General features: G+C 46.3%; 1 protein-coding gene, 1 long non-coding RNA gene and 1 pseudogene across 2 annotated transcripts in view, besides 3 other annotated features; 2 read left to right on the top strand and 1 right to left on the bottom strand.

Moving 5' to 3' along the window:
- Positions 1 to 3,945: 3,945 nt before the first annotated feature.
- LOC124902117 (uncharacterized) lies at positions 3,946 to 8,228 on the top strand. The gene is made up of 4 exons (XR_007061412.1): positions 3,946 to 4,380; positions 5,637 to 6,745; positions 6,835 to 6,918; positions 8,186 to 8,228. It is a non-coding gene; the product is annotated as an uncharacterized LOC124902117 (long non-coding RNA).
- Positions 4,057 to 4,276: an enhancer, noted in NCBI's record as "active region_28201". NCBI's record gives its function as "activates an Ori minimal core promoter by ATAC-STARR-seq in GM12878 lymphoblastoid cells {active_cell/tissue: GM12878}" and the evidence as "EXISTENCE:reporter gene assay evidence [ECO:0000049][PMID:35858748]".
- Positions 8,229 to 8,626: 398 nt separating the features above from the next.
- KDM4C (lysine demethylase 4C) overlaps positions 8,627 to 26,276 on the top strand; it is a 454,786-nt gene continuing 437,136 nt past the window's right edge. Inside the window, exon 1 of the mRNA NM_001146696.2 lies at positions 8,627 to 8,761. Coding sequence (NP_001140168.1) covers positions 8,713 to 8,761 — 49 coding nt within the window. The 5' untranslated portion in view covers positions 8,627 to 8,712. The remainder of the gene's footprint in view (positions 8,762 to 26,276) is intronic.
- Positions 11,136 to 11,285: an enhancer, noted in NCBI's record as "active region_28202". NCBI's record gives its function as "activates an Ori minimal core promoter by ATAC-STARR-seq in GM12878 lymphoblastoid cells {active_cell/tissue: GM12878}" and the evidence as "EXISTENCE:reporter gene assay evidence [ECO:0000049][PMID:35858748]".
- Positions 11,386 to 11,505: an enhancer, noted in NCBI's record as "active region_28203". NCBI's record gives its function as "activates an Ori minimal core promoter by ATAC-STARR-seq in GM12878 lymphoblastoid cells {active_cell/tissue: GM12878}" and the evidence as "EXISTENCE:reporter gene assay evidence [ECO:0000049][PMID:35858748]".
- On the bottom strand, positions 22,332 to 22,840 carry PRELID3BP11 (PRELI domain containing 3B pseudogene 11; annotated as a pseudogene).

Here is a 26,276-nt window from a genome sequence, read left to right on the forward strand (position 1 = left end):
AGCAGGAGGAGAGTCTGTGGCCATAGCATAGTTCAGTATAACTACTAGCACTTGTCTGATGCAAGTAATGTAACTAAATGTAAACAGTCATAAACAATAAGAATTTATTGGCTCATAAAAAGGCAAAATTATTGTCAATATAGAATCATTTTTCAAAATCAATGATAAGGCTGGGCACAGTGGTTCACGCCTGCAATCTCAGCACTTTGGGAGGCTGAGGCGGGTGAATCACGAGGTCAAGAGATCAAGACCATCCCGGGCCAACATGGTGAAACCCCCGTCTCTATTAAAAATACAAAATTTAGCCGGGCATGGTAGCGTGTGCCTGTATCTCAGCTACTTGGGAGGCTGAGGCAGGAAAATCGCTTGAACCAGAGAGACAGAGGTTGCAGTGAGCCGAGATCGTGCCACTGCACTCCAGCCTGGTGACAGAGCACGACTCTGTCTCAAAAAAAAAAAAAAAAAAAAAAAATCAGTGATTACTGTCATTCTATGTCTATATTTTCCAGAGTCCACTGGAGTTTAAAACATCAAAATTTGACTCTATAATTTGCTATATTGTTACTATTATGAGCAATTGAGAAACTCATTTTTTACTAGTAATTAGTGTCTCTGAGGTGATTTCAAAGGTAATCATCTACATAATTGTCTTTAAAAGGATACAGCTATTGTGCAAATGTGGTTTATTATCAGAACTGAATGAATTATTTCATCTGGCAAAAAAATGTTAATTACAATTGAAATTTAAAGGTAATTCTACTTCAGGGACATAAATATAGTCATCTGGGTCATAATTTAGTAAATTGCCTAATTGGCTTACTTCAATAGCCAAGACTGTGAAATAATTGCAATATAACATCTGTTTCATACAGTGTTTTACTGCTTTAAAAATGCTTCTACTTTTTTGTTGTTGTTTTTGTTTTGTTTTTTGTTTTTTGAGATGAAGTCTTACTCTGTAGCCCAGGCTGGAGTGCAATGGCGTGATCTTGGTTTAATGCAACCTCTGCCTCCCGGGTTCAAGCGATTCTCCTTCCTTGGCCTCCCAAGTAGCTAGGATTACAGGCGTGCGCCACTGCACCTGGCTAATTTTTCGTATTTTTAGTAAAGACAGGGTTTCACCATGTTGGTCAGGCTGGTCTTGAACTTCCAACCTCAGGTAATCCACCCACCCCAGCCTCCCAAAGTGCTAGGATTACAGGCGTGAACCACCGCGCCCAACCAAATGCTTCTACTTTTAAAAATCAATGTATTGATATTCATAACTCTTCAGGGAAGTCAACAGCACTGATGTAGAATCCTTATTTTTCAGGTGAAGAAACTTGAGACACAGCTCTATAGTACAGTTGTCTCTCAGTATACACAGACGATTGGTTATTGGTCTTATAACCATTACAGGACCCCCAAGTATAGCAAAATCCAAGCATACCCAAGTCCTGCAGCTGGCCCTGAGGAATAAGAGTATAGGAAAATTGGGCCCTCCCCATACAGGGTTTCACATCCCGTGAATACTGTATGTTCAATCTGCATTTGGTTGAAAAAAAGCAGTGTATAAGTCGACCCATGCAATTCAAACCCATGTCATTCAAGAGTCAACTGAGGCTAGGCTCGGTGGCTCACGCCTGTAATCCCAGCACTTTGGGAGGCCGAGGCGGGTGGATCACGTGAGGTCAGGAGTTTGAGACCAGACTGGCCAACACGATGAAACCCCATCTCTACTAAAAATACCAAAAAGTAGCAGGGTGTGGTGGTGCATGCCTGTAATCCCAGCTACTTGGGAGGCTGAGGCAGGAGAATTGCTTGAACCCAGGAGGCAGAGGTTGCAGTGAGCCGAGGTTGCGTCATTGCACTCCAGCCTGGACAATAAGAGCGAAACTCCGTCTCAAAAAAAATAAAAAAAATAAAAAAATAAGTCAAACAACTGGGTAAATAGTAGAGCTAGGTCTGAAGTATAGGCCTCCAGACTTCCAGTCCAGTTCTCCTTTGCACTAAGAGTACAGAAGACTACTTTAAAAAGCAGATCCTGCCCAGTGTGGTGGCGTGTGCCCTAGTCCCCAGCTACTCCAGGGAGGCTGAGGCCAAAGGATCTGAGCCTAGGACTTGGAGACCAGCTTGGGCAACATAGCCACCCCGCCTATTTAAAAAAAAAAAAAAATAGAGAGAGAAGCTGATACTGGCTCTGTGTGACTTTGAGCAAATTACTCAATCTCATAGTGATTGAGCAAATCACTCAATCTCATAGTGAGGCAGTTAGTTTATCTGTAATATGGGACTATTCACTGGGTAATAACTTCACTGAGGGTAATAGGTGCTAAAACCTGTGGAGCACTTAGAACAGTGCTGGACAAATACTAAATTCTGTATAAATGTTGGCAATTCTACACCACTTTAACTTCTGAGATGGAAGCCTTATATTGTATACCTTATTAGTAATATACTCAAGGACACATGTAGGGCATGTTTCAGTTTTGTGGATATTGAAATACAGGGAAAACCATATTTTTGACTCGCAATATTCCCATGTTTTCGGCTTCATTATATTCCCACAATGTCCTTCCAACCAAGTAAACATGTCAAAACTGTGCCAAGAATACTTCCCTGGGATCACACACCACTGAGATATTTAATTATTAAAGAAGCTGAAATCAAGAGTATTGCAGTATTAAAACAGGACACACACGAATCAAAGTGTAACATAATTTTAAATAAAAACTATGCAATTAGTCTCAGACCAAATCCATTAATGAGCATATGGAGTTACCTAACATTTTAGTATAAAAAATGTTAGGTCAAAGCCCCGGATGACCAGGCTGCAACACTGCAAATTGTTTATAAAGAAGTGTTTTGAAGGCCGGGCGCGCTGGCTCACGGCTGTAATCCCAGCACGTTGGGAGGCCGAGGTAGGTAGATCACCTGAGGTCAGGAGTTCGAGACCAGCCTGACCAACAAGGTGACGCACCGTCTCTACTAAAAATACAAAAATTAGCCGAGCGTGGTGGCAGGCGCCTGTAGTCCCAGCTACTCGGGAGGCTGAGACAGGGGAAATGCTTGAACCTGGGAGGCAGAGGTTGCAATGAGCCAAGATCGCCCCGCTGGAGCGCCGCTGCACTCCAGCCTGGGCGATTGAGCAAGACTCCTTCTCAAAAAAAAAAGTGTTTCCAGGAAGTGTTTCCAGGTTGGGTGCGGTGGCTCACGTCTGTAATCCCAACACTTTGAGAGGCCGAGGCGGGCGGATCACTTGAGGCCAGGAGTTCGGGACCAACCTGGACATAGGGAAACCCCGTCTCTACCAAAAAATGCAAAAATTAGCTGGGCGTGGTGGCACATGCCTATAATCCCAGCTACTCAGGAGGCTGAGGCACGAGAATCACTTGAACCCAGGAGGCTGCGGTTGCAGTAAGCCGAGATGGCGCCACTGCACTCCAGCCTGGGCGACAGCGAAATTCTATCTCAAAAAATAAAATAAAATAAAAAGCCGAAGGTCTTCAGAGCACCTAGGACCAGCGGAGGTTAAAGCTTATCTACAACAGCTTGCAGCAAGCTTGCTTTGGTAAACAGTCTGGGGCCAGGAGGTACCCACAGTCCTAGTTACGCCAAATTCAGGCCGAAGGGCGACCTGTCTCCGTGCTCCTGACAAACTTCCAGCCCCCGTTTCCCATCAGAGCCTCGTCCAGGTGTTCCCATTTAAAGGCTCCACCTGCGCAGGGCGGGTGCCACACAATGAGGAGAGTTTTGCAAACAAACGCGGCCGTTGCTCCAAGGTCTCGGGTAACCGATTGGCAAAACCTAGGTCTTCCCACTTAGGGAAGATGGCCCAAGAGCAAGAAGGCGAAACAAGAGGCCGCCGGACCCGCGAAGCCCCGAGCTCAGAGGTCGCCCAGTGCTCGGCCCCGCCTCTGACGTCACGGCTCGGTGGGACTCCCGGAGCCCGGATGCGCGCTGGGACTCGGTGCAGTCCAGCTCCACGGTCGCGCGTCCCACAGCTCCCTTCACGTCCGTTCCTCCGTTTCCCCACCTTGGGAGGGCCAGGACTTCCGAGGCTTTAGGGGGCAGGAAGCTGCGAGAAGGTGGCGCTTGCTTAGGTGAGGCGCGGAGGATGGTATTAGAGAGAGGAACGTGACTGGAAGCTCCCTGGCCATGGACGATCGCTGGGTTCTAGGCGCCTGCTCGCCCCAGCGGTTGACGGTCACGTGATACCCCCCAGTGTACCTTTCCTGCAGCGTGTTACGTGGCGCACAGAGAACGTCGCTTCCAGAGGACCGTTTTTTCGTAACTGGCAGTAGTAATCTGGCGGTTGACACTCTCGTTGCCTGTATAGGCTGATGGCCCACTCACCTTTTTAGCTGGGCTCCTGACCTGTCCGGCCAGAAAGTTGCCACTGGGGTAAGGTGGATGGCGTGGGGGAATAGGGAAGGGCCTCAGCACAGTTTCTGAACACTTCTTCCACACCGGATTCCGGAGGCCGCAGATAGGGAAAGCAAGGGCCAGTAGGGCAGTTTTCTCTTGTGTTCCCTATTCTTGTTGAGACTGTGAGGATGGTGGAGTGACCCTCTGGCTGACCTTTGTCCCTCCTGCCAAGACTTTTTCTTGCAGGACTATTCCCCACCCAGTGGGTGAGTTTGCTTACTTGGTGGGTGACAGTACCGTGACCACAACCAAGGATTTGACAAGGGGATGTTATTACTTGCAACAAGTAAGGAAACACTGGGGGTAATTCTTAAAGCGGTGCCTCCCTGAACAAAGGTGAAAACAGTGCTTTTATTAGTCGTATGTAGAGGTGGAGCAAAAGCCGTGCTGGTGCAGTTTTCTATCATGTTTCTACATACCTCGCATGCATAGAAAATAGCAAATAAGGCCGGGCGCAGTGGCTCATGCCTGTAATCCCAGCACTTTGGAAGGCTGAGGCAGGCGGATCACCTGAGGTCGGGAGTTCGAGACCAAACTGACCAACATGGGGAGAAACCCTGTCTCCACTAAAAATACAAAAGTAGCCGGGCATAGTGGCGCATGCCTGTAATCACAGCTACTCGGGAGGCTGAGGCAGGAGAATCGCTTCAACCCGGGAGGCGGAAGTTGCTGTGAGCCGAGACTGCGCCATTGCACTCCAGCCTTGGCAACAAGAGCGAAACTGCACCTCAGAAAAGAAAAAAAAAAAGAAAGAGAGAGAGAGAGAAAGAAAGAAGGGAAAGGAAAGGAGAGGGAAGGGGAGGGGAGGAAAAGAGGGACGGGACGCAGTGGCTCACACCTGTAATCCCAGCACTTTGGGAGGCTGATGAGGGAGGGTCGCTAGAGGCCAGGAGCCCAAGACCAGCCTAGGCAACATAGGGAGACCCAGCCGATATTGAAAAAAAATAGAGAGAGAAAGAAAATGGCGAAAAAGAAGCTCCTCCCTATGAGACAGGGCAGGGACCCCCTCTTAAAGGCTTGCTGAGTATCTAAGCATAGAAATAAAAAAAAGTCTTGAGTTCTTTCAAGAGAAATTACCAGCACATAGCTAGCCCTGAGAGTAAATAAGTAACTTAATAAAAAGTTAATAGTAGCTTAAAATGATAGCCAAGGAAGTTAAAATCATGGGGTATTTGGTTTTGTGTAGAAATGGAAGATAACATTTTAACATAGGTCTTTCAATTGTTTTTCAGAAACCTGGACCCCTACTGAATGGATCTGCTGGCACCTAGACCTCAGAGAAGGGGGAACTGAAGACTGAAGTCTGACCACTGTTCTTTGTTGAAAATTTCTTTCTCAGGGGCTTGGAGGGATCACATCTACAATCCTGAGCTAATATTCTCTTCTGCTGTCCCCAAAATTTAAACGAAGCTTCTCTTAACCCATTGCAAATGAGAAAAATCTTTGAATCTACCTATGACTATAAGCCCTTATTTCAAGATATCCTGCCTTTTTAGGCCAGAACCAAAGTGTAACCTCCATCTATTGATTTACAATTTTGCCTGTAACTTTGGCTTTCCTGAAATTTACCCCAGCCTTAAAAAAAAAAAAGAACAGAAAAAGAAAACTGCAAGGCATCAGGGAGGTCAGAATTTGGGCATGAGCTGCCTGATCCTCCTTGCTTTGCATCTTTGCAAATAGATGCCTTCAGCTGTGCATGATGGCTCACACCTCTCATCCCAGCACTTTGGGAGGGCAAGGCGGGAGGATTGCTCCATCCCAGGAGTTCGAGATCAGGGGCAAAATGCCGAAACCCTGTCTCTACAAAAAATTAAAAAATTAGCTGGGCATGATGGTGCACTTCTGTAGTCCCAGCTACTTGGGAGGCTGAGGCAGGGGGATTGCTTGAGCCCAAGAGGTTGAGGCTACATGAGCCATCATCGTGCCACTGCACTCCAGCCTGGGAAACAGAATGAGACCCTGTCTCAAAACAAAACATTTGAAAAATAACAAGTTCAGGTGCAGTGGCTCATACCTGTAATCCCAGCACTTTGGGAGGCCAAAGTGGTCGGATCACTTGAGGCCAGGAGTTCATGACCAGCCTGGCCAACATGGCAAAACCCCATCTCTACTAAAAATACAAAAATTAGCTGGGTGTGGTGGCTGGCAACTCTAGTCCCAGCTACTCCGGAGGCTGAGGCAGGAAAATCACTTGAACCCAGGAGGCGGAGGTTGAAGTGAGCCGAGATCACACCACTGCACTCCAGCCTGGGCAACAGAGCAAGACTCTGTCTCCAAAAATAACAAAAAATAAATACATGCCTTCCTTTCTACTGCTGCACAACCTCACTGTGTCAGGCAGGTGAGTGGACCCCAGTTAGGTTCTATAACACCTGGGCGAGGGTTTTTAGTATGGTAATAAGACTTAGCCACATTTTGTATCCATCTCAGGCATCTCTGGATCCAGCTGGTTTTTGTTTTGCTGAGGCTCAGCTTCTTCCTGGAACTTTTTGAAACAACACTCAAGGGTCTCAAGTGGGTATTTTTTCATGTTGTATACCCAAAAACCTGAAAACCCAGGGCCCTGGGTTACAGTATTTCCACGTCGTATACCCAAAAACCTGAAAACCTGGGGACCCTGGGTTCCAGTATTTCCTGGCGATCTTACCCACTACCACCATCTAGTCAATTTGAACCACCTCCTCAACCACCTATGAGGGCCTAAACACTCTTTCACTCCCTTTCCTGCCAGCACCCCTCAAGCTGATAAAAATACTTTGGTCTTTAAAGCCGACTGGAAATGCTGAGTCAAAATCAAATTTGGAATATTTAAAGTGGATTCAAAAATATTTCAGCAATGCAGACAATTGTGAATAATGAAGCTGTTGGTAATATATGTCTTGATATCCTATACAACAAACAAATTGTCTGAATATGTACGAGTGATTATTTTTTTCTTTTGTTTTTTTTTTTTTGAGATGGAGTTTAGCTCTTGTCGCCTAGGCTGGAGTGCAATGGCACGATCTTGGCTCACTGCAACCTCCGCCTCCCGGGTTCAAGCAATTTCCTGCCCCAGCCTCCCGAGTAGCTGGGATTACAGGTGCCTGCCACCACGGCCGGCTAATTTTGTATTTTTAGTAGAGATGGAGTTTCAGCATGTTGGCCAGTCTGGTCTCGAACTCCTGATCTCAGGTGATCTGCCCACCTCAGCCTCCCAAAGTGCTGGGATTACAGGCATGAGCCACTGCACCTGGCCCCTTTTTCTTATTTTTCATTACCAACAGTTTGCCCTGACAGATATACCAGTGATTTTTTGAAAACTGTGCAGTCACGGTTATTGTTGAGCCATATAATCTTGCACTTTTCAGTCCTGCAGGGCAAAAAGATTATAACAGAATGACCCCCACAGCTATCCACAATCGGATGTATTAATTTTTTTTTTTTTTTTTTTTGAGACGGAATTCACTCTGTTGCCTAGGCTGGAGTGCAATGGCACGCGACCTCGGCTCACTGCAACCTCCGCCTCCTGGGTTGAAGCGATTCTCCTGCCTCAGCCTCCCAAGTAGCTGGGATTACAGCCGTTTGCCACCACGCCCAGCTAATTTTTGTATTTTTAGTAGAGACGGGGTTTCACCATGCTGGCCAGGATGGTCTCGAACTCCTGACCTCAGGCGATCTGCCCGCCTCAGCCTCCCAAAGTGTTGGGATTACAGGTGTGAGCCACCGTGCCCAGCTAGATGTATTAATATTTATAGTTTATCTTCTTTTTTTTTTGAGATGGAGTTTTGCTCTTATTGCCCAGGCTGGAGTGCAATGGTGCGATCTCGGCTCACTGCAACCTCGGCTCTCTGCAACCTCTGCCTCCTGGGTTCAAGTGATTCTTCTGCCTCAGACTCCCAAGTAGCTGGGATTACAGGCATGTGCTACCACTCCCGGATTATTTTCTATTTTTAGTACAGACCAGGTTTCTCCATGTTGGTCAGACTGGTCTCAAACTCCCTACCTCAAGTGATCTGCCCACCTCGGCCTCCCAAAGTGCTGGGATTAAAGGCGTGAGTCACCACCCCTGGCCTTATAGTTTATCTTCTAGTGGTCTTCTATCCTCATTTGAAAATGTGAAAAGTGGGTACCTGAGATAATTCACCGACTCATTGTTTCTTGGAACCACAATTGATCTCAGAAGTGTAACCCTGTACTACTGAGAAGCTTAATCAAGGACAAATACAATCCCCTCACTCCACAGATGGCTGACATGATGGTCTGTGACCTGAAAGTTGTTGAATAGTTGGAGTGTTCTGCATTCATGTGGAAGAGGCTAAAGGATGTTTGATGAAGCACTATGGGCTGCCCTGGAAGAGGACTGAAGAAGCAGCTGCAGGTGAGTGCTGCTCTGAACATAATCCAGGACACTTTGTACATAGTTGGTGGTTCTGTCACACTTAAAGCAATGTTAATTTCTTTATTTTTATTTTTTTAGAATCAAGGTCTCTGTTGCCCAGGCTAGAGGGCAGTGGTGCAATCACACCTCACTGCAGCCTCAACATCCCAGGCTCAGGTGATTCTCCCACCCCAGTCTTCCCAGTAGCTGGGATTACCAGTGCATGCCACTATGCCTGGCTTTTTTTTTTTTTTTTTTTTAATTTTAAATTAACTTTTTTTTTTTTTTTTTTTTTTGAGACAGAGTCTCTCTCTCTCTCTCTCCCACCCAGGACAGAGGGCAGTGGCGCAATCTGGGCTCACTGCAACCTTCACCTCTCAGGTTCAAGCGATTCTTGTGCCTTTGCCTCCCAAGTAGCTGGGACCACAGGCATGTGCCACGACACCTGACTAATTTTTGTATTTTTAGTAGAGACAGGGTTTTGCCATGTTGGGCAGGCTGGTCTCAAACTCCTGGCCTTAAGCGACCTACCCGTCTCGGCCTCCCAAAGTGCTGGGATTACAGGCATGAGCCACCATGCCCGGCCCTCTTTTTTTTTTTTTTTTTCCTGAGACGGAGTCTCGCTCTTTTGCCCAGGCTGTAGTGCAGTGGCGTGGTCTCGGCTCACTGCAACCTCCGCCTCCCGGGTTCAAGCAATTCTCCTGCCTCAGCCTCCTGAGTAGCTGGGATTACAGGTGCCTGCCGCCACGCCCGGCTAATTTTTTGTATTTTTAGTAGAGACTGGGTTTCATCATATTGGCCATGCTGGTCTCAAACTCCTGACCTCATTATCTGCCCACCTTGGCCTCCCAAAGTGCTGGGATTACAGGCTTGAGCCACCGCGCCTGGCCCATTTTTTAATTTTTGTAGAGATTGGGTCTCACTATGCTGCCCAGGTTGGTGTTGAGCTCCTGGGTGCAAGCAATCCTCTTGCCTTGACCTCCCAAAGATCTGGAATTATAGGCATGAACCTCCATGCCTGGCCTAAAAGCAATGTTTAAATCCAATTAAAAATTAAAATTTGTTTTTGTAGTTGTAGAGGAACTGTTCCGTGCTGGTTCCCCAATAGCCTAGGACAACTCTGTTAGCCTTGACAAATTTGGCATCCAACCTGAGCCTGGTAAGGTCACGAAGCCTTTTTGGAAGAAAGAGGGATGTGGGCCAGGTTAAGGGCTGTGATAAGACTCCCTGGGATCTTGTAGTGCATGTTCTTGCCTAAGCAGTGAATTGGGAGGATTCAGTTTCCTCCCAGTGTCCTAGTTGTTACTAGACAGTGTGGGCTGGGTTAGATGAAATGGAAAAGATTTCCCTGGGTCTGATAGTACATGCTACCCATCAGTGAATATTTAGAGATTTGGAGGCTGGGCTTGGTGGCTCAAGCCTGTAATCCTAGCACTTTGGGAGGCTGAGGCGGGCAGATCTGTTGAGCTCAGGAGTTTGACGCAAGCCTGAGCAACATGGCAAAACCCTATGTCTATATATTTTTTTTTTTTTGAGATGGAGTTTTGCTCTTGTTGCCCAGGCTGGAGTGCAATGGCGCGATCTCGGCTCACTGCAACCTCTGCCTCCCAGGTTCAAGTGATTCTCCTGCCTCAGGCTCCCGAGTAGCTGCGATTACAGACATGCACCACCATGCCCAGCTAATTTTGTATTTTTAGTAGAGATGGGGTTTCTCCATGTTGGTCAGGCTGGTCTCGAACTCTCAACCTCAGGTGATCCGCCTGCCTCCGCCTCCCAAAATGCTGGAATTACAGGTATGAGCCACCGCATCCGGCCTACAAAAGATTTTTTAAAAAATTAGCTGGGTGTAGTGGCACACATCTGTGGTCTCAGCTACTTGGAAGGCTGAGGTGGGAGGATTGCGTGAGCCCAGGAGGTTGAGGTTGCAGTGAGTCGAAATCGCACGACTGCACTCTAGCCTGGGCAACAGAGCGATACACGACAGAGCAATACACTGTCTCATAAAAACAAAACAAAAACAAAAACAACAAAACTCAAACAGCAAGAGATTTACAGTGGTAGGATTGAAGCAGCTGCCTGAATGGTGTCTTAGTTGTAAAAGTTTGTAGATGCTTGGCTGGGCGCCATACACTTTGGGAGGCCGAGGTGAGTGGATCTCCTGAGATCAGGATTTCGAGACCAGCCTGCCCAACATGGAGAAACCCCGTCTCTACTAAAAATACAAAAAGTTAGCCAGGCGTGGTGGTGGGCGACTGTAATCCCAGCTACTCGGGAGGCTGAGGTATGAGAATTCCTTGAACCTGGGAGGCGGAGGTTGCAGTGAGACGAGGTCACGCCACTGCACTCCAGCCTGCGTGACAAGAGCAAAACTCTGTCTCAAAAGAAAAGAAGAAAAAAAGTTTGTAGATGCTGAGCAGAAGGCAACTTAAATCTGAAAGTAAGTCCAAAACTGTGCTTATTGGTGTGGAACTGCTCCTGTCACACCCCCGATCTCTTCCTCTCTCTTACCCTGACCTCTGTTCCTTTAAGGAAAGAAACGTCCACTCTGCTCCAGTCAACCCCACTGCTGGTGTCCTCTGCACTGCCTTGCACTCCCTGAAGAGAGCCTGGGCAACAGAGCGAGACTCCATCTCAAAAAAAAAAAAAAAAAAAATTGGGGACTATGTATATAGATTTACTACACTGAAGCCCTCCAGCAGTCTAAGAACTGATGCCTCTAACGAAGGAAAGGACTGCATGTTTCTGATGAAGCTACCATGACCTACCAGATTTCCAACGCCTGCCAAAATTAATCTATTTGTCTGTGGTAGAAGAGGCCATACCATTGTGGCCCTTGAAACTTACTGTATGATGTTTTATTTAGTGAACAGTTCACATACCCAAATGGTTGTAACTGATACTGCTGAATATATTGTAAGAACAGAAGTGTTAAGTATGTATAACACTTCTTTTGATTGTAAGGAATGTTCCCAGTGGGGAAATGCCATAATTAAAACAGTGATCGTGGGATGAATACATGATTAAGAGCTTACCTTCATAATAGTAAAACAGTACAGGATGCCAGAAGGAAGGGAGGAGAGGGGATAATACTACTATACTGATGAAGTAGCTAGAAGAAAGAGGAGTGCTTAAGGAAACTATCCAGCAGGCTATTCAGACTGACCTCTCATTTGGAACAGTTCTAATGAGCCTTTTCAGCTACAAGTGATGGTGACTGACAGTTACACTGATTGGAGCCTGTGGCAATAGGCAGTAAGTGCCATTTAGGGTTTTGGGCACAGCATTTGCCTGACACCGCTGCCTGGTATACTCCATTTAAGCAGCAATTGTTGGCTTGTTAGTGAGTGCTTTTGGACACTTAGACACTAACAAAGAAAGCATCAGCAGGTATTGTTATATTCTGACATGTCCATTCTTGGATGGATCAAAAATGAAAACATCAACAAAGAAGGTAATGCTCAGCGAGCATCCATTATTTAATGGAAATGGTATATCCAAGAAAGAAGTAAACTGGACATATTATTATTATTGTTATTATTATTATTATTTTTGAGACGGATACTTGTTCTGTCGCCCAGGCTGGAGTGCAGTGGCACGATCTCGGCTCACTGCAACCTCTGTCTCCCAGGTTCAAGCCATTCTCCTGCCTCAGCCTCCCGAGCAGCTGGTACTACAGGCACGCACCACAACGCCCAGCTAATTTTTGTATTTTTAGTAGAGATGGGGTTTCACCATGTTGTACAGGATGATCTCGATCTCTTGACCTCGTGATCTGCCCACCTCGGCCTCCCAAAGTGCTGGGATTATAGGTGTGAGCCACAGTGTCCGGCCTCTGGGTGTATTACTTTCTTATTGCCACTATTACAAATTTAGTGACTTAAAATGACATAAATTTATTGTCTTGCAGTTCTGAAAGAAGTCCAAAATGAGTTTCACTGGGCTGAAATCAAGGTGTTGGCAGGACTGCACTCCCTCCAGAGGCTCTGGGGGAGGATCGGTTTCCTTGCCTTTTCCAGTTTCTAGAGGCTCTCCTCATTCCTTGGGTCATGACACCTTCCTCACATTGTTTCAATCTCTTGCTTTCATCATCACATCTCCTACTTCCTCTTCTGGAGTCAAATCTCTCTCTGCCTTTTTGTTTTAAAAAATCTAATGTGATCCCCTTATCCTTGAGGGAGATCGAGGCCGAGGCCACTGTGACAATGTTCCACCAGGTAGCATGTTGCAGGGGTAGAGCGCAGTGTGTTTGGAGATGGTGCAGGAGGGACGACTTTAACTTGCAGCAACTGAGGGTGAACACATTGGGCTCTTGCTGGAGTGCATCTAGTGTGTGTGTGTGTGTCTTTCTCTGTTTCCACTCGAGTATCAGAGACTTGCTTATAACCTTTATGATATTTTTCTGGATAGTGGTAATTGCCTTGTATAATGTTTCTTTTGCTGAATAATTTTCCATCTTCTCTGTCGTATGTCACAGATTCTCTCTTTTTTATTTTTATTTTTATTTTTTGAGATGGAGTTTTGCTCTTGTTGCCCAGGCTGGAGTGCAATGGCACGATCTTGGCTCACTGCAACCTCTGTCTCCCCGGATCAAGCAATTCTCCTGCCTCAGCCTCCCAAGTAGCTGGGATTACAGGCACCTGCCACCACATCTGGCTACTTTTAAAAATATTTTTAGTAGAGATTGGGTTTCTTTCTTTTCTTTTCTTTTCTTTTCTTTTTTTTTTTTTTTTGAGACAGAGTCTGGATCTGTTGCCCAGGCTGGAGTGCAGTGGTGCGATCTCGGCTCACTGCAACCTCCACCTCCGTGGTTCAAGCAATTCCCCTGCTTCAGCCTCCCAAGTAGCTGGGATTACAGGCAACTGCCACCACACCTAGCTACTTTAAAAAATATTTTTAGTAGAGATGGGGTTTCTTTCTTTTCTTTTCTTTCTTTATTTTTTTTTTTTTGAGACAGAGTCTCGATCTGTTGCCCAGGCTGGAGTGCAGTGGCGCGATCTCGGCTCACTGCAACCTCCACCTCCCTGGTTCAAGCAATTCCCCTGCTTCAGCCTCCCAAGTAGCTGGGATTACAGGTGCACACCACCACACCTAGCTAATTTTTTTATATATTTAATGGAGATGGGGTTTCGCCGTCGCGGCCAGACTGGTCTCAAACTCCTCAGGCAATCCGCCTGCCTCAGCCTCCCAAAGTGCTGGGATTACAGGCGTGAGCCACCACAACCGGCCAGATTCTCTTTTTAAAACTGGTCAGCCCCTCAAACCAGAATAGGTTCAGAGAGACTTCCGAGATTCTCTATTTGTCTGAAGTGTAAATGTTTTGAAGGTTTTCTCGACTGACTCAATGTGATCAAGAATCTCTAATAGTTTGTGTCCCCCTGACACTGCTCGCTCAGTCAGTCCCACTGTCAGCAAGTTCTCTTTCCCTGTCCTTCTGGCCAGCTAAGTCAGTGATGACACATCTGGCTATCACCAGCTCAAAGCTGTCTCCTCAACCACTTTTACCAGGGAATGAATGCTTCAAGACCACAGTGCTCTCCTGCCTTGGAAACACCTTCGCCTTCCTCCGCTTCTCTTTGGCTACCATGGTCACCCTCCACACTGCTTTCCTCAACTCTCGGGCAGGTGGTCCCATCAATACCTCCTCCTCCTCCAAGGTTACCTCCCAAGGTGCCATTCATCACTGACAATCATGTTTGCACTACTAAAAGAATTGCCTTAATCTTTTTATCCATTTTTGGGTTTTTGGGGGTTTTCTTGAGACGGAGTCTTGCTCTGTCTCCTAGGCTGGAGTGCAGTGGCTCAATCTGGGCTCACTGCAAGCTTTGCCTCCCAGGTTCAAGCAATTCTCCTCCTTCAGCCTCCTGAGTAGCTGGGATTACAGGCATACGCCACCACGCCTGGCTAATTTTGTATTTTTAGTAGAGATAGGATTTCGCCATGTTGGCCAGGCTGGTCTCAAACTCCTGACCTCATGTGGTCCTCCTGCCTCAACCTCCCAAAGTGCTGGGATTATAGGCATGAGCCACTGCATCTGGCCCGATTCTTTATATTTGTAAAAAGCGTACTGTACTTCAATATATTCAAAATTAGACTATTATTTAGAAGTATATCAATTTGCAGCCAGGGCAGTGGCTCACGCCTGTCCTTTACACATATAAGATGGTAATACACGGCCGGGCACAGTGGCTTGTGCCTGTAATCCCAGAACTTTGGAAGGCCGAGGTGGGTGGATCACCTGAGGTCAGGAGTTCGAGACCAGACTGGCCAACATGGAGAAACCCCGTCTCTACTAAAAATACAAAAATTAGCCAGGTGTGGTGGTGGGCTCCTGTAATCCCAGCTACTTGGGAGGCTGAGGCAGGAGAATCCCTTGAACCTGCGAGGTAGAGGTTGTAGTGAGCCGAAATTGCACCATTGCACTCTAGCCTGGGCAACAAGAGCGAAACTTTGTATCATTAAATAAATAAATAAAAGGAAAGGCCGGCGCGGTGGCTCATGCCTGTAGTCCCAGCACTTTGGGAGGCCGAGGCGGGCAGATCACGAGGTCAGGAGATTGAGACCATCCTGGCTAACACGGTGAAACTCAGTCTCTACTAAAATAAAAAAAAAACTTGTACTAGTGTTGTAACTTTCCAAGTAAAAGTATCCCTAAAGGCCACTTCCTATCTGATTTTTCCCAGTAAATGAGGCAGGCAATTCTAAGATCTTCCACAAAACATCTAGCCATCTAAAATGGAGAGATGAATCATTCTACCTATACAAACAAGCTAGCTATTAGAGGGTGGTTGGGGTATGCTACTCATAAGATTTCAGGGTGTCTTCCAACTGAAATCTCAATGTTCTCAGTATGAAAAACCTGAAATCACATGCCTATGTAAGGAAAGTGCTATTCACCCAGTAAACCCCAAAAAGCAAATGGATAATGCTGGCCATTTTGCCTTTCTGACATTTCCTTGGGAATCTGCAAGAACCTCCCCTTTCCCCTCCCCCAATAAGACCGTTTAAGTGTGTGTTAAACCACTACAGAATACTAAATAAAAAGTTTGGCCAAAACCAACCATGAAGCTGCAAAAAAAAAAAAAAAAAAAAAAAAAAAAGTGTTATACACTTGTAATTTTATGAATGCTATGGGAACCATCCCAATCAGGGACAGCTGCAAAGAAAAAGTGTTAGTGGGATACATAAATAATTGCTTCTTGCCATTGGTGGGTGGGTTCGTATTTAAATTCTCTGAGTATTAAAAACCAAGTATTCTTGGCCGGATGTGGTGGCTCACGCCTGTAATCCCAGCACTTTGGGAGGCCAAGGCGGGTGGATCACAAGGTCAGGAGTTTGAGACCAGCCTGGCCAACATGGTGAAACTCTGTCTTTACTAAAAGTACAAAAATTAGCTGGGCACAGTGGAACGCGCCTGAAATCCCCACTACTCAGGAGGCTGAGGCAGGAGAATTGCTTAAACTCAGGAGGCAGAGGTTTCAGTGAACTGAGATCACGCCACTGCACTCCAGCCCGGGCAAGCAAGACTCCTACTCTGAAAAAACAAACAAACAAAAAACGAAGTATTCTTGGCCGGGCTCAGTGGCTCATGCCTGTAATACCAGCACTTTGGGAGGCAGAGGCGGGCGGATCACGAGGTCAGGAGTTCGAGACCAGCCTGACCAACATGGGGAAACCCCATCTCTACTAAAAATTACAAAAATTAGCCAGGGATGGTGGCGCATGCCTATAATCCCAGCTACTCAGGAGGCTGAGGCAGGAGAATCGCCTGAACCCGGGAAGCAGAGGTTGCAGTGAGCCAAGATTGTACCACCACACTCCAGCCTAGGTGACAGAGCGAGACTCCATCTCAAAAAACAAAACAAAACAAACAAAAAGTATTCTCATTAATGTGTGGCCAGAAAAAAATTGTATGAAAAAAAGGAAGAAGGCTGGGCGCGGTGGTTCACGCCTGTAATCCCAGTACTTTGGGAGGTCGAGGTGGATGGATCACGAGGTCAGGAGTTCAAGATCAGCCTGGCCAAGATGGTGAAACCCCACCTCTACTAAAAATACAAAAAATTAGCCGGGTGAGGTGGTGGGTGTCTGTAATCCCAGCTACTCGGGAGGCTGAGGCAGAGAATTGCTTGAACCCGGGAAGCAGAGGTTGCAGTGAGCCGAGATCACGCCACTGCACTCCAGCCTGGGCGACAGAGCAAAGCTCCGTCTCCAAAAAAAAAAAAAAAAAAAAAAAGAAGAAGAAAAGAAATAAATGGAAGAAACAGGGCCAGACGTTGTGGCTTATGCCTGCAATCCCAGTACTTTGGGAGGCTGAGGCAGGTGGAATGCTTGAGTACAGGAGTTCAAGACCAGCCTGGGCAAATGGTGAAACCCTATCCCTACTAAAAATACAAAAAACTAGCCAGGTGTGTTGGCACGCTCCTGTTGTCCCAGTTACTTAGGAGGCTTTGGTGGGAGGACTGCTTGAGCCCAGGGGAGTGGGGCGGAGGTTGCAGTGAGCCAAGATCACGCCACTGCACTCCAGCTTGGATGACAGAGACCCTGTCTCAAAAACAAAAAAAACAAATCTCCATAACTGATTATTTTTGCTGTATGTCTTGCCTATTGGAGCCTCTGGAAAAAAGGAAATAACATTAAAAAGGAGGTACTCTCCATATGGAAATATACTTTTAGAGTTTTAAAAAACTGATTTTAGTTGCTAATGAGCTCTTGTAAAATCAGATGTCTGACCCATAAAAGCTAATGATTTCCAGCCAGATGTGCATATTTCTGAGTGGGTCACTTTGGGCCTAAATACTGACGAGATAAAAAAGGCTTAATAAAGCCTTCCTTAGGCCGGGCATGGTGGCTTATGCCTATAATCCCAGCACTTTGGGAGGGAGAGGCGGGCGGATCACCTGAGGTCAGGAGTTCAAGACCAGCCTGGCCAACATGGCGAAAATTAATCTCTACTAAATATACAAAAATTAGCTGGATGCGGTGGTGCACGCCTGTAGTCCGAACTACTCTGCAGGCTGAGGCAGGAGAATCGCTTGAACCCAGGAAATGGAGGCTGCAGTGGGCCGAGATTGTGCCACTGCACTGCAGCCTGGGCAACAAAGCGAGACTCAGTCTTAAAAAAAAGAAAAAAAAAAAGGCTTGTCAGTTGCACCTGGAATATGGCCATGAGGCCTTGCAGCATTTTGGCTTTGCTTCTGCGAAGAAAAAGCAACAGGGCTTTTCGGAATCCTGATCCTAATTTCCTGGACCTGATTCTAAGCTGAAACTTGATACTTTATAGTATGGGCTTGTTAATAGAAAAACTTCAACTGAATTAAATTTAAAATAATTTAATTGAGCGGCTGGGCGTGGTGGCTCACGCCTGTAATTCCAGCACTTTCGGAGGCCAAGGCAGGAGGATCACAAGGTCAGGAAATCGACACCATCCTGGCTAACATGGTGAAACCCCATCTCTACTAAAAATACAAAAAATTAGCTGGGCGTGGTGGCGGGCACCCCTAGTTCCAGCTACTCGGGAGGCTGAGGCAGGAGAATGGCGTGAACCCGGGAGGCGGAGCTTGCAGTGAGCCGAGATCGTGCCACTGCACTCCAGCCTGGGCGACAGAGCGAGACTCTGTCTCAAAAAAAAAAAAAAGTAATAATAATAATAATTTAATTGAGCAATGAATGATTCATGAATCAGGTAGCCCCCAGAATCACAGCAGATATTCAGAGAGACTCCAGGGATGCCTCATGGTCAGAACAAATTTACAGACAAAAAAGAGAAGTGACTATAGAAATCAGAGGTGAGGTCCTTAAGTGGATTCGTTACAGCTCCGCGTTTGCCTTATTTGAACAGTTTGAACACTCCGCAGTGTATGAGTGGTTGAAGTATGGCTGCTGGGATGGGCCAAGACTCAGCTCTTGTTACAGGCAAATACTCCTAATTTAGTTTTCAATCTTGTGTACCTATTTAGTTAGGTTGCAGCTTGACCAAAAGGACTCAAATACAGAAGTACAGAGTCCTTCTCAGGCCATCCTTAGTTCGCTTTAACAATCACCCTCTTTTGGTCATTTTCTCAATTTTTAGAGATTGACCAAAACTTGAGTCATTGATGTCACTATCACCGTCATAAATGTACTTATTTGATATTGAAACTCACTGGGAAACAGAACACTGTGGGCTTTGCAAGGTGGGAACAAGGACTCAGTAGAGGGTACCTTCTTATACTGGGAACGTCATGTTTACAGGAGAAAAACAAAACGTGGTCTGTTCTAGGATCTATGAGTTTCCTTAAAGTCTTCATTTGATTATGTCACATTTAACAGAAGCAACTACATTTTTTTTTTGCTTTTTTTTTTTTTTTTTTGAGACTGAGTTTCACTCTTGTTGCCCAGGCTGGAGTGCAATGGCACGATCTCAGCTCACCGCAACCTCCACCTCCCAGGTTCAAGCAATTCTCCTGCCTCAGCCTCCTGAGTAGCTGGGATTACAGGCATGCACTACCTACCACACCCAGCTAATTTTTTTTTGTATTTTTAGTAGAGACGGGGTTTCTCCATGTTGAGGCTGGTCTCGAACTCCTGACCTCAGGTGATCCGCCCACCTCGGCCTCCCAAAGTGCTGGGATTACAGGCATGAGCCACTGCGCCCGGCCAAGCAACTCCATTTTTGTTTGGTTTGGTCTGTTGGGGCCTAGCGCATGAGCTCAGTTCAAAACAATGGCCTTCCATAATTTTGTTTAAAAAAATTATCCCTTTCTGGTCAGGTTCTCACTTAGCTGACAGTGTGACCAGAACTTAGGGCCTTAGCGCCATTTTCCGTTACCACCATTTTGGGTTTCTGGCCTCAGTGTGTCATTTATAGGTTACTGTGTCCTCATGGTTGCACATTTCTTTCAGCTCTTGTCATTCCAGTTGAACAGAGACCATTTGACATTCTAGAGATGGCTGCATGTAAACATTTAAAACCTTTGGGAGAATACAGTGCACCAGGGAGACTATTATCATCACTATCAGGAGGATAATACCAACAGTTTGGAGTATGTTCCTTACCCAGGGTCCCCATAAACCAAACCACCTAAAATCAAATAGATCAAAGAATGAGGCTGGGGCTGGGTGTGGTGGCTCACATCTGTAATCCCAGCACTTGGGAGGCCAAGGTGGGCGGATCACGAGGTCAGGAGATTGAGACCATCCTGGCTAACACAGTGAAACCCCATCTTTACTAAAAATACAAAAATTAGCCGGGCGTGGTGGTGGGCGCCTGTAGTCCCAGCTACTCGGGAGGCTGAGGCAGGAGAATCGCTGGAACCCGGGAAGCGGAGGTTGCAGTGAGCTGAGATCATGCCACTGCACTCCAGCCTGGGTGACAGAGCAAGACTCTGTCTCAAAAAAAAAAAAAAAAAAAAAAAAAAAAAAAAAAAAAGAATGAGGCCGGAAGTTGTGGCTCACACACCTGTATATAATCCCAGCACTTTGGGAGGCCGAGGTGGGTGGATCACCTGAGGTCAGGAGTTGGAAACCAGCCTCCCAAAGTGCTGGGATTACGGGCATGAGCCACCGCACCCAGCCAGAAAGGAAAATTTAAGAAGGTTAAGGAGGGAAGCCAGACATTGTTCATGCAGGGGAAGAGAATCAACAAATGGTGAAGGTCACACAGGTATCAACCAGAAAGTACTCACTTCCTAAACCGGGATTGAACCCAGCCCTCTATTGTAAAATGGCAGAGACCAAAAGAAAGTACCACCACGTGGTGGCTGGGTGTGATGGCTCACGCCTATAACTGCAGCACTTTGGGAGGCCGAGATGGGCAGATCATTTGAGGTCAGGAGTTCGAGACCAGCCTGGCCAGCATGGCGAAACCCTGTTTCTACTAAAAATACAAAAATTAGCTGGACGTGGTGGCACACGCCTGTAGTCCCAGCTACTGGGGAGGCTGAGGCAGGAGAATAGCTTGAAACCAGGAGGTGGAGGTTGCAGTCAGCCGAGATCATGCCATTGCACTCCAGCCTGGGTGACAGGGCAAGACTCCGTCTCAAAAAATAAAAAAAAGAAAGTACCACCACGTGGTTACAAGGTCAAGCTCCCAAGGACATAAAAGAAGATAGAGACCTCATCCAGTTTTGTTTTGTTTTCAGAGAAAGTTTGTAACTGACAAGTTTTCTGGGCTGGCTTGCCTATTAGCTAGCTAAGACAAACCAAATTTGACAAAGTTGCTCTGCTTAAAAAACAAAACTCAGGCTCTGGGACAGTTGCAGATTTGACTCGAAAGACAAAGCTGTGAAAACATCATGGATGCTGGCTGGACCAGCTGGGTCACAATTGCCTACAGAAAGGGGCTTATTTCTGATGGGACCATCTGAAATTGATCTGCTCATTGGCTCTTTGTTTCTGTTACAGAGACTGTTTGCATTTCTAAGTAGTGATTCCTGCTAAAGCTGCACACTGTGGGAGGGCACATCTCAGCAAGTGTGACCCTTTCACCCAGTACTGAGAGATCAGACTCTGGACCCTGTCTCAGGGCCATCTTACTGCTGCTAACTTCTTGCGTTTGGCTTTTGGTATTAGATGCAGTTTGCAACAGTGAACTGATACCTTGACTCTACTTCCTTTCTCCTGGTATACATGTTACAGGAAAGGGGTCCCGATCCAGACCCCAAGAGAGGGTTGTTGGATCTCGCGCAAGAAAGAGTTCAGGGAGAGTCCGTAGTGTAAAGAGAAAGCAAGTTTGTTAAGAAAGTAAAGGAATAAAAGAATGGCTATTCCATAGACAGAGCAGCCCCAAGGGCTGCTGGTTGTCTATTTTTATGGTTGTTTTTTGATGGTATGCTAAACAAGGGGTGTATTATTCATGCCTCCCCTTTTTAGACCATATAGGTTAACTTCCTGATGTTGCCATAGCTTTTGTAAACTGTCATGGCGCTGCTGAGAGTGTAGCAGTGAGGACAACCAGAGGTCACGCTCACATCTTGGTTTTGGTGGGTTTTAGCCGGCGTCTTTACTGCAGCCTGTTTTATCAGCAAGGTCTTTATGAGCTATATCTTGTGCTGACCTCCTATGTCATCCTGTGACTTAGAATGCGTTAACCGTCTGAGAATGCAGCCCAGTGGGTCTCAGCCTTATTTTACCAGCCCCTATTCAAGATGGAGTTGGTCTGGTTCAAATGCCTCTGACACACACAACTTAACAAGGCACCTTAATTTAGTGATTAAATGCAGCTGTCCCCAGAAAGAGATTGATCTTTTCTAGGCTGCTACCTGGATAAGTGATCAGGATGAAAAAGGAGTGGAAAGTTATGTAAACCCATGTTTGGTTTTTTTTTTTTTTTTTTTTTTTTAGATGGAGTTTCGCTCTTGTTGCCCAGGCTGGAGTGCAATGGCGTGGTCTCAGCCCACCACAACCTCTGCCTCCCGGGTTCAAGTGATTCTCCTGCCTCAGCCTCCCGAGTAGCTGGGATTACAGGCATGCGCCACCACGCCCAGTTAATTTTGTATTTTTAGTAGAGACAGGGTTTCTCCATGTTGGCCAGGCTGGTCTCGAACTCCTGATCTCAGGTGATCCTCCTGCCTCGGCCTCCCAAGGTGCTGGGATTACAGGAGTGTGTCACCATGCCTGGCCTGCATTCCTCTGTTTCTTGCCCTTTATTAGCATTTGGAGATAACATACTTGCCATCAGTCCTGCAAAGTAATTGCCGAGGCTGACTCCTTTCACAGTGATTATGGCTTCCTGAGTCAAAATAGGATTTTTTCTGTGTCCTGAGGATGTGACTTGTATATAAGCCTCTCACCTACTTAAAATATGTTTGTAAATGAAATGTTGGTAGATTCCTGTTCCATTGTTTTCTCTACAGGATCAACTACTGAATGTTCTTACACAAATGTTTTGTTTCTTGCACCAATAAGAGACTTCACAATGGAAGGTAGTCCCCAGTCTGTGCTAAGTCTGTGGCTGTGCAACTTTTCAGAGGGATCTATATGTCTGTCTAACACATCAACTCCAACCACACTCAAGTTGATAGGGTTTGGGTATTACTGCATTGCAGCTATTGTAAGAGTTTCTCATGGGTGGTCAAAGAGATGCTCCAAAGTTCAAATCTTCATGGTTCCAGCAGCCTATGCAATGACTGGGCAGTGCTAGGGGACAATTAGGCAAAGAGGCTACACCTGTCCCCGCCCCCACCCCCCAGCATCCCATCAAACTGCTTAGTGTGAAATTGGCTCTGCAGAAACAGAGCTCCCATCACCCATGTTGCATTATCACCTGACCTCTTTTGTTTTGGTGTTGTCTGGTAGGAAAATGGACACAGGGCGCTGGCATCTTTGCCAATCTTAGTATTGCTATCAGTATTAAACTGCCTGAATCTAAAAAGGGCTTGTTGTTTCTTTACCAATTAAATCTCTCAGCTTTGCTTGACAGCAGTGATATGCTTTGGCTGTGTCCCCACCCAAATCTCATCTTGAATTGTAACTCCCATAATTCCCACATATCATGGGAGGAACCTGGTGGGAGGTGATTGAATTATGGGTCAGGGCTTTCCTGCACTGTTCTCCTGATAGTGAATGAGTCTCATTAGGTCTGACGGTTTTAAAAACCAGAGTTTCCCTGCACAAGCCCTCTCTTTTTTGCATGCTGCCATCCATGTGAGACGTGCCTTGCTCCTCCTTGCCTTCTGCCAAGACTGTGAGGCCTCCTCACCCATGTGGAACTGTAAGTTCATTAAACCTCTTTTTCTTCCCAGTGTCAGGTATGTCTTTATCAGCAGCGTGAAAATGGACTCATACATTAAATTGGTACTAGTAGAGCAGGGCACTGCTGTAGATACCCAAAAATGTGGAAGCTACTTTGGAACTGGGTAACAGGCAGAGATTGGAACAGTTTGGAGGGCTCAGAAGAAGACAGGAAAATGTGGGAAAGTTTGGCACTCCCTAGAGACTTGTTGAATGGCTTTGACCAAAATGCTGATAGTATTATGGACAATAAAGTCCAGGCTGAGGTGGTCTCAGATGGAAACGCGGAACTTGCTGGGAACTGGAGCAAAGGTGACTCTTGTTATGTTTTAGCAAGGAGACTGGCAGCATTTTACCCCTGCCCTAGAGATTTGTGGAACTTTGAATTTGACAGAGATGACTTAGGGTATCTGGTGGAAGAAATTTCCTAGCATGAAAGCATTCGCGTGGTGACTTGGGTGCTGTTAAAGGCATTCAGGTTTATAAAGGAAGCAGAGCATAAAAGACTGGAAAATTGCAACCTGACAATGCAACAGAAAAGAAAATCTCATTTTCTGAGGAGAAACTCAATCCAGATGCAGAAATTTGCATAAGTAATGAGGAGCTGAATGTTAATCCCCAAGACAATGGGGAAAATGTCTTCAGGGAATGTCAGAGGTATTCATGGCAGCCCCTCCCATCACAGGTCCAGAGGCCTAGGAGGAAAAAGTGGTTCTGTGGGCTGGGCCCAGAGTTCCTGTGCTGTGTGCAGTCTAGGGACTTGTTGCCCTGCATCCCAGACACTCCAGCCATGACTAAAAGGGGCCAAGGTACAGCTCAGGCTGTTCCTTCAGAGGGTGGAAGCTCTAAGAGTTGGCAGCGTCCATGTGGTGTTGAGCCTATGGGTGCACAGAAGTCAAGAATTGAGGTTTGGGAACCTCAATTAGGAAGTCAGACTATCTCTGTTGTAGACAATGTGATTCTATACCTAAAAAACCCCAAAGGCTCTGTCCCAAAGCTCCTAGATCTGAAAAAGAACTTCAGCAAAGTTTTAGGATACAAAATCAGTATACAGAAATCAGTATCCACCAGGAGCAGTGGCTCACGCCTGTAATCCCAGAACTTTTGGAGGCCTAGTCTGGGGGATCACTTGAGACCAGGAGTTCAAGACCCGCCGGGCCACCATGGCCAAACCCCGTCTCTACAAAAAAATACAAAATTAGCCGGGCATGGGGGCACACACATGTAGTCCCAGATACTTGGGAGGCGGAGGCACAAGTATCGCTTGAACCTGGGAGGGGGAGGTTGCAGTGAGCCAAGATCACACCACTACATTCCAGACTGGGCGACACAGCGAGATTCTGTCTCAAAAAAAAAAAAAAAAAAAAAAAAGTTTTTCAGTCCCACTGGACTAGCCTGGGCAGCATAGCAAGATCTTGTCTCTATTTTCAAAAAACAAACAAATAAATATAATTAAATTGAAACAGAAAATTGACAAACGGGACCTAATTAAAGTAAAGAGCTTCTGCACAGTAAAAGAAACTATCAACAGAATAAAAAGACAACCTACAGACTGGGAAAAAATATTTGCAAACTATGCATCCAACAAAGGTCTAATATCGAGAATCCATAAGGAACTTAAACAAATTAACAAGCCAAAAAACAAACAACCCCATTAAAAAAGTGAGCAAAGGACGGTCAGGTGCAGTGGCTCATGCCTGTAATCTCAGCACTTTGGGAGGCCGAGGCAGATGGATCACCTGAGGTCAGGAATTTAAGACCAGCCTGTCTAACCTGGTGAAACCCCATCTCTACTAAAAAAAATACAAAAATTAGCTGGGCATGGTGGCAGGCACCTGTAATCCCAGTTACTTGGGAGCCTGAGGCAGGAGAATCGCTTGAACCCGAGAGGCAGAGGTTGCAGTGAGCCGGGATCACACCATTGCATTCCAGCCTGGGGGACAAGAGTGAGACTTCATCTCAAAAAAAAAAAAAAAAAAAAAAGTGAGCAAAGGACATGAACAGATAATTTTCAAAAGAAGACATACACTTGGACAACATGAAAAAATGTTCAACATCACTAATCGTTAAAGAAATGCAAACCACAATGAGATACAAACTCACACCAGTCAGAATGACTATTATTAAAAAGTCAAAAAATGACAGATGCTGGGCTGGGCAAGGTGGCTCACACTTGTAATCCCAGCACTTTGGGAGGCCGAAGCAGGTGGATCACCTGAGTTCAGGAGTTCGGAGCCTGGCTAACGTGGCAAAACCCCATCTCTACTAAAAATACCAACAATTTGCTGGGCATGGTGGCAGGTGCCTGTAATTCTAGCTACTCAGGAGGCTGGGGCATGAGAATCACTTGAACCCGGGAGGCAGAGGTTGCAGTGAGGGAGATCACACCATTGCACTCCAGCCTGGGCAACAAGACCAAAACTCCCTCTCAAAAACTAAACTAAACTAAACTAAACTAAACTAAACTAAACTAAACTAAAAAACAGATGCTGGCCGGGCCTGGTGGCTCACACCTGTAATCCCAGCACTTTGGGAGGCCGAGGCAGATGGATCAGCTGAGGTCAGGAGTTTGAGACTGGCCTGACCAACATGGAGAAACCCCGTCTCTACTAAAAATACAAAATTAGAAGGGCATGGTGGCACATGCTGTAATCCCAGCTACTCGGGAGGCTGAGGCAGGAGAATCGCTTGAACCTGGGAGGCGAAGGTTGCAGTTAGCAGAAACCATGCCACTGTACTCCAGCTTGGGCGACAGGTCCTCACTCTGTCCCCCAAGCTGGAGGGCAATGGCAAGATCAGAGGTCACTGG

The sequence above is a fragment of the Homo sapiens genome, chromosome 9 (assembly GCF_000001405.40).
Source record: "Homo sapiens chromosome 9, GRCh38.p14 Primary Assembly".
Taxonomy (NCBI): domain Eukaryota; kingdom Metazoa; phylum Chordata; class Mammalia; order Primates; family Hominidae; genus Homo; species Homo sapiens.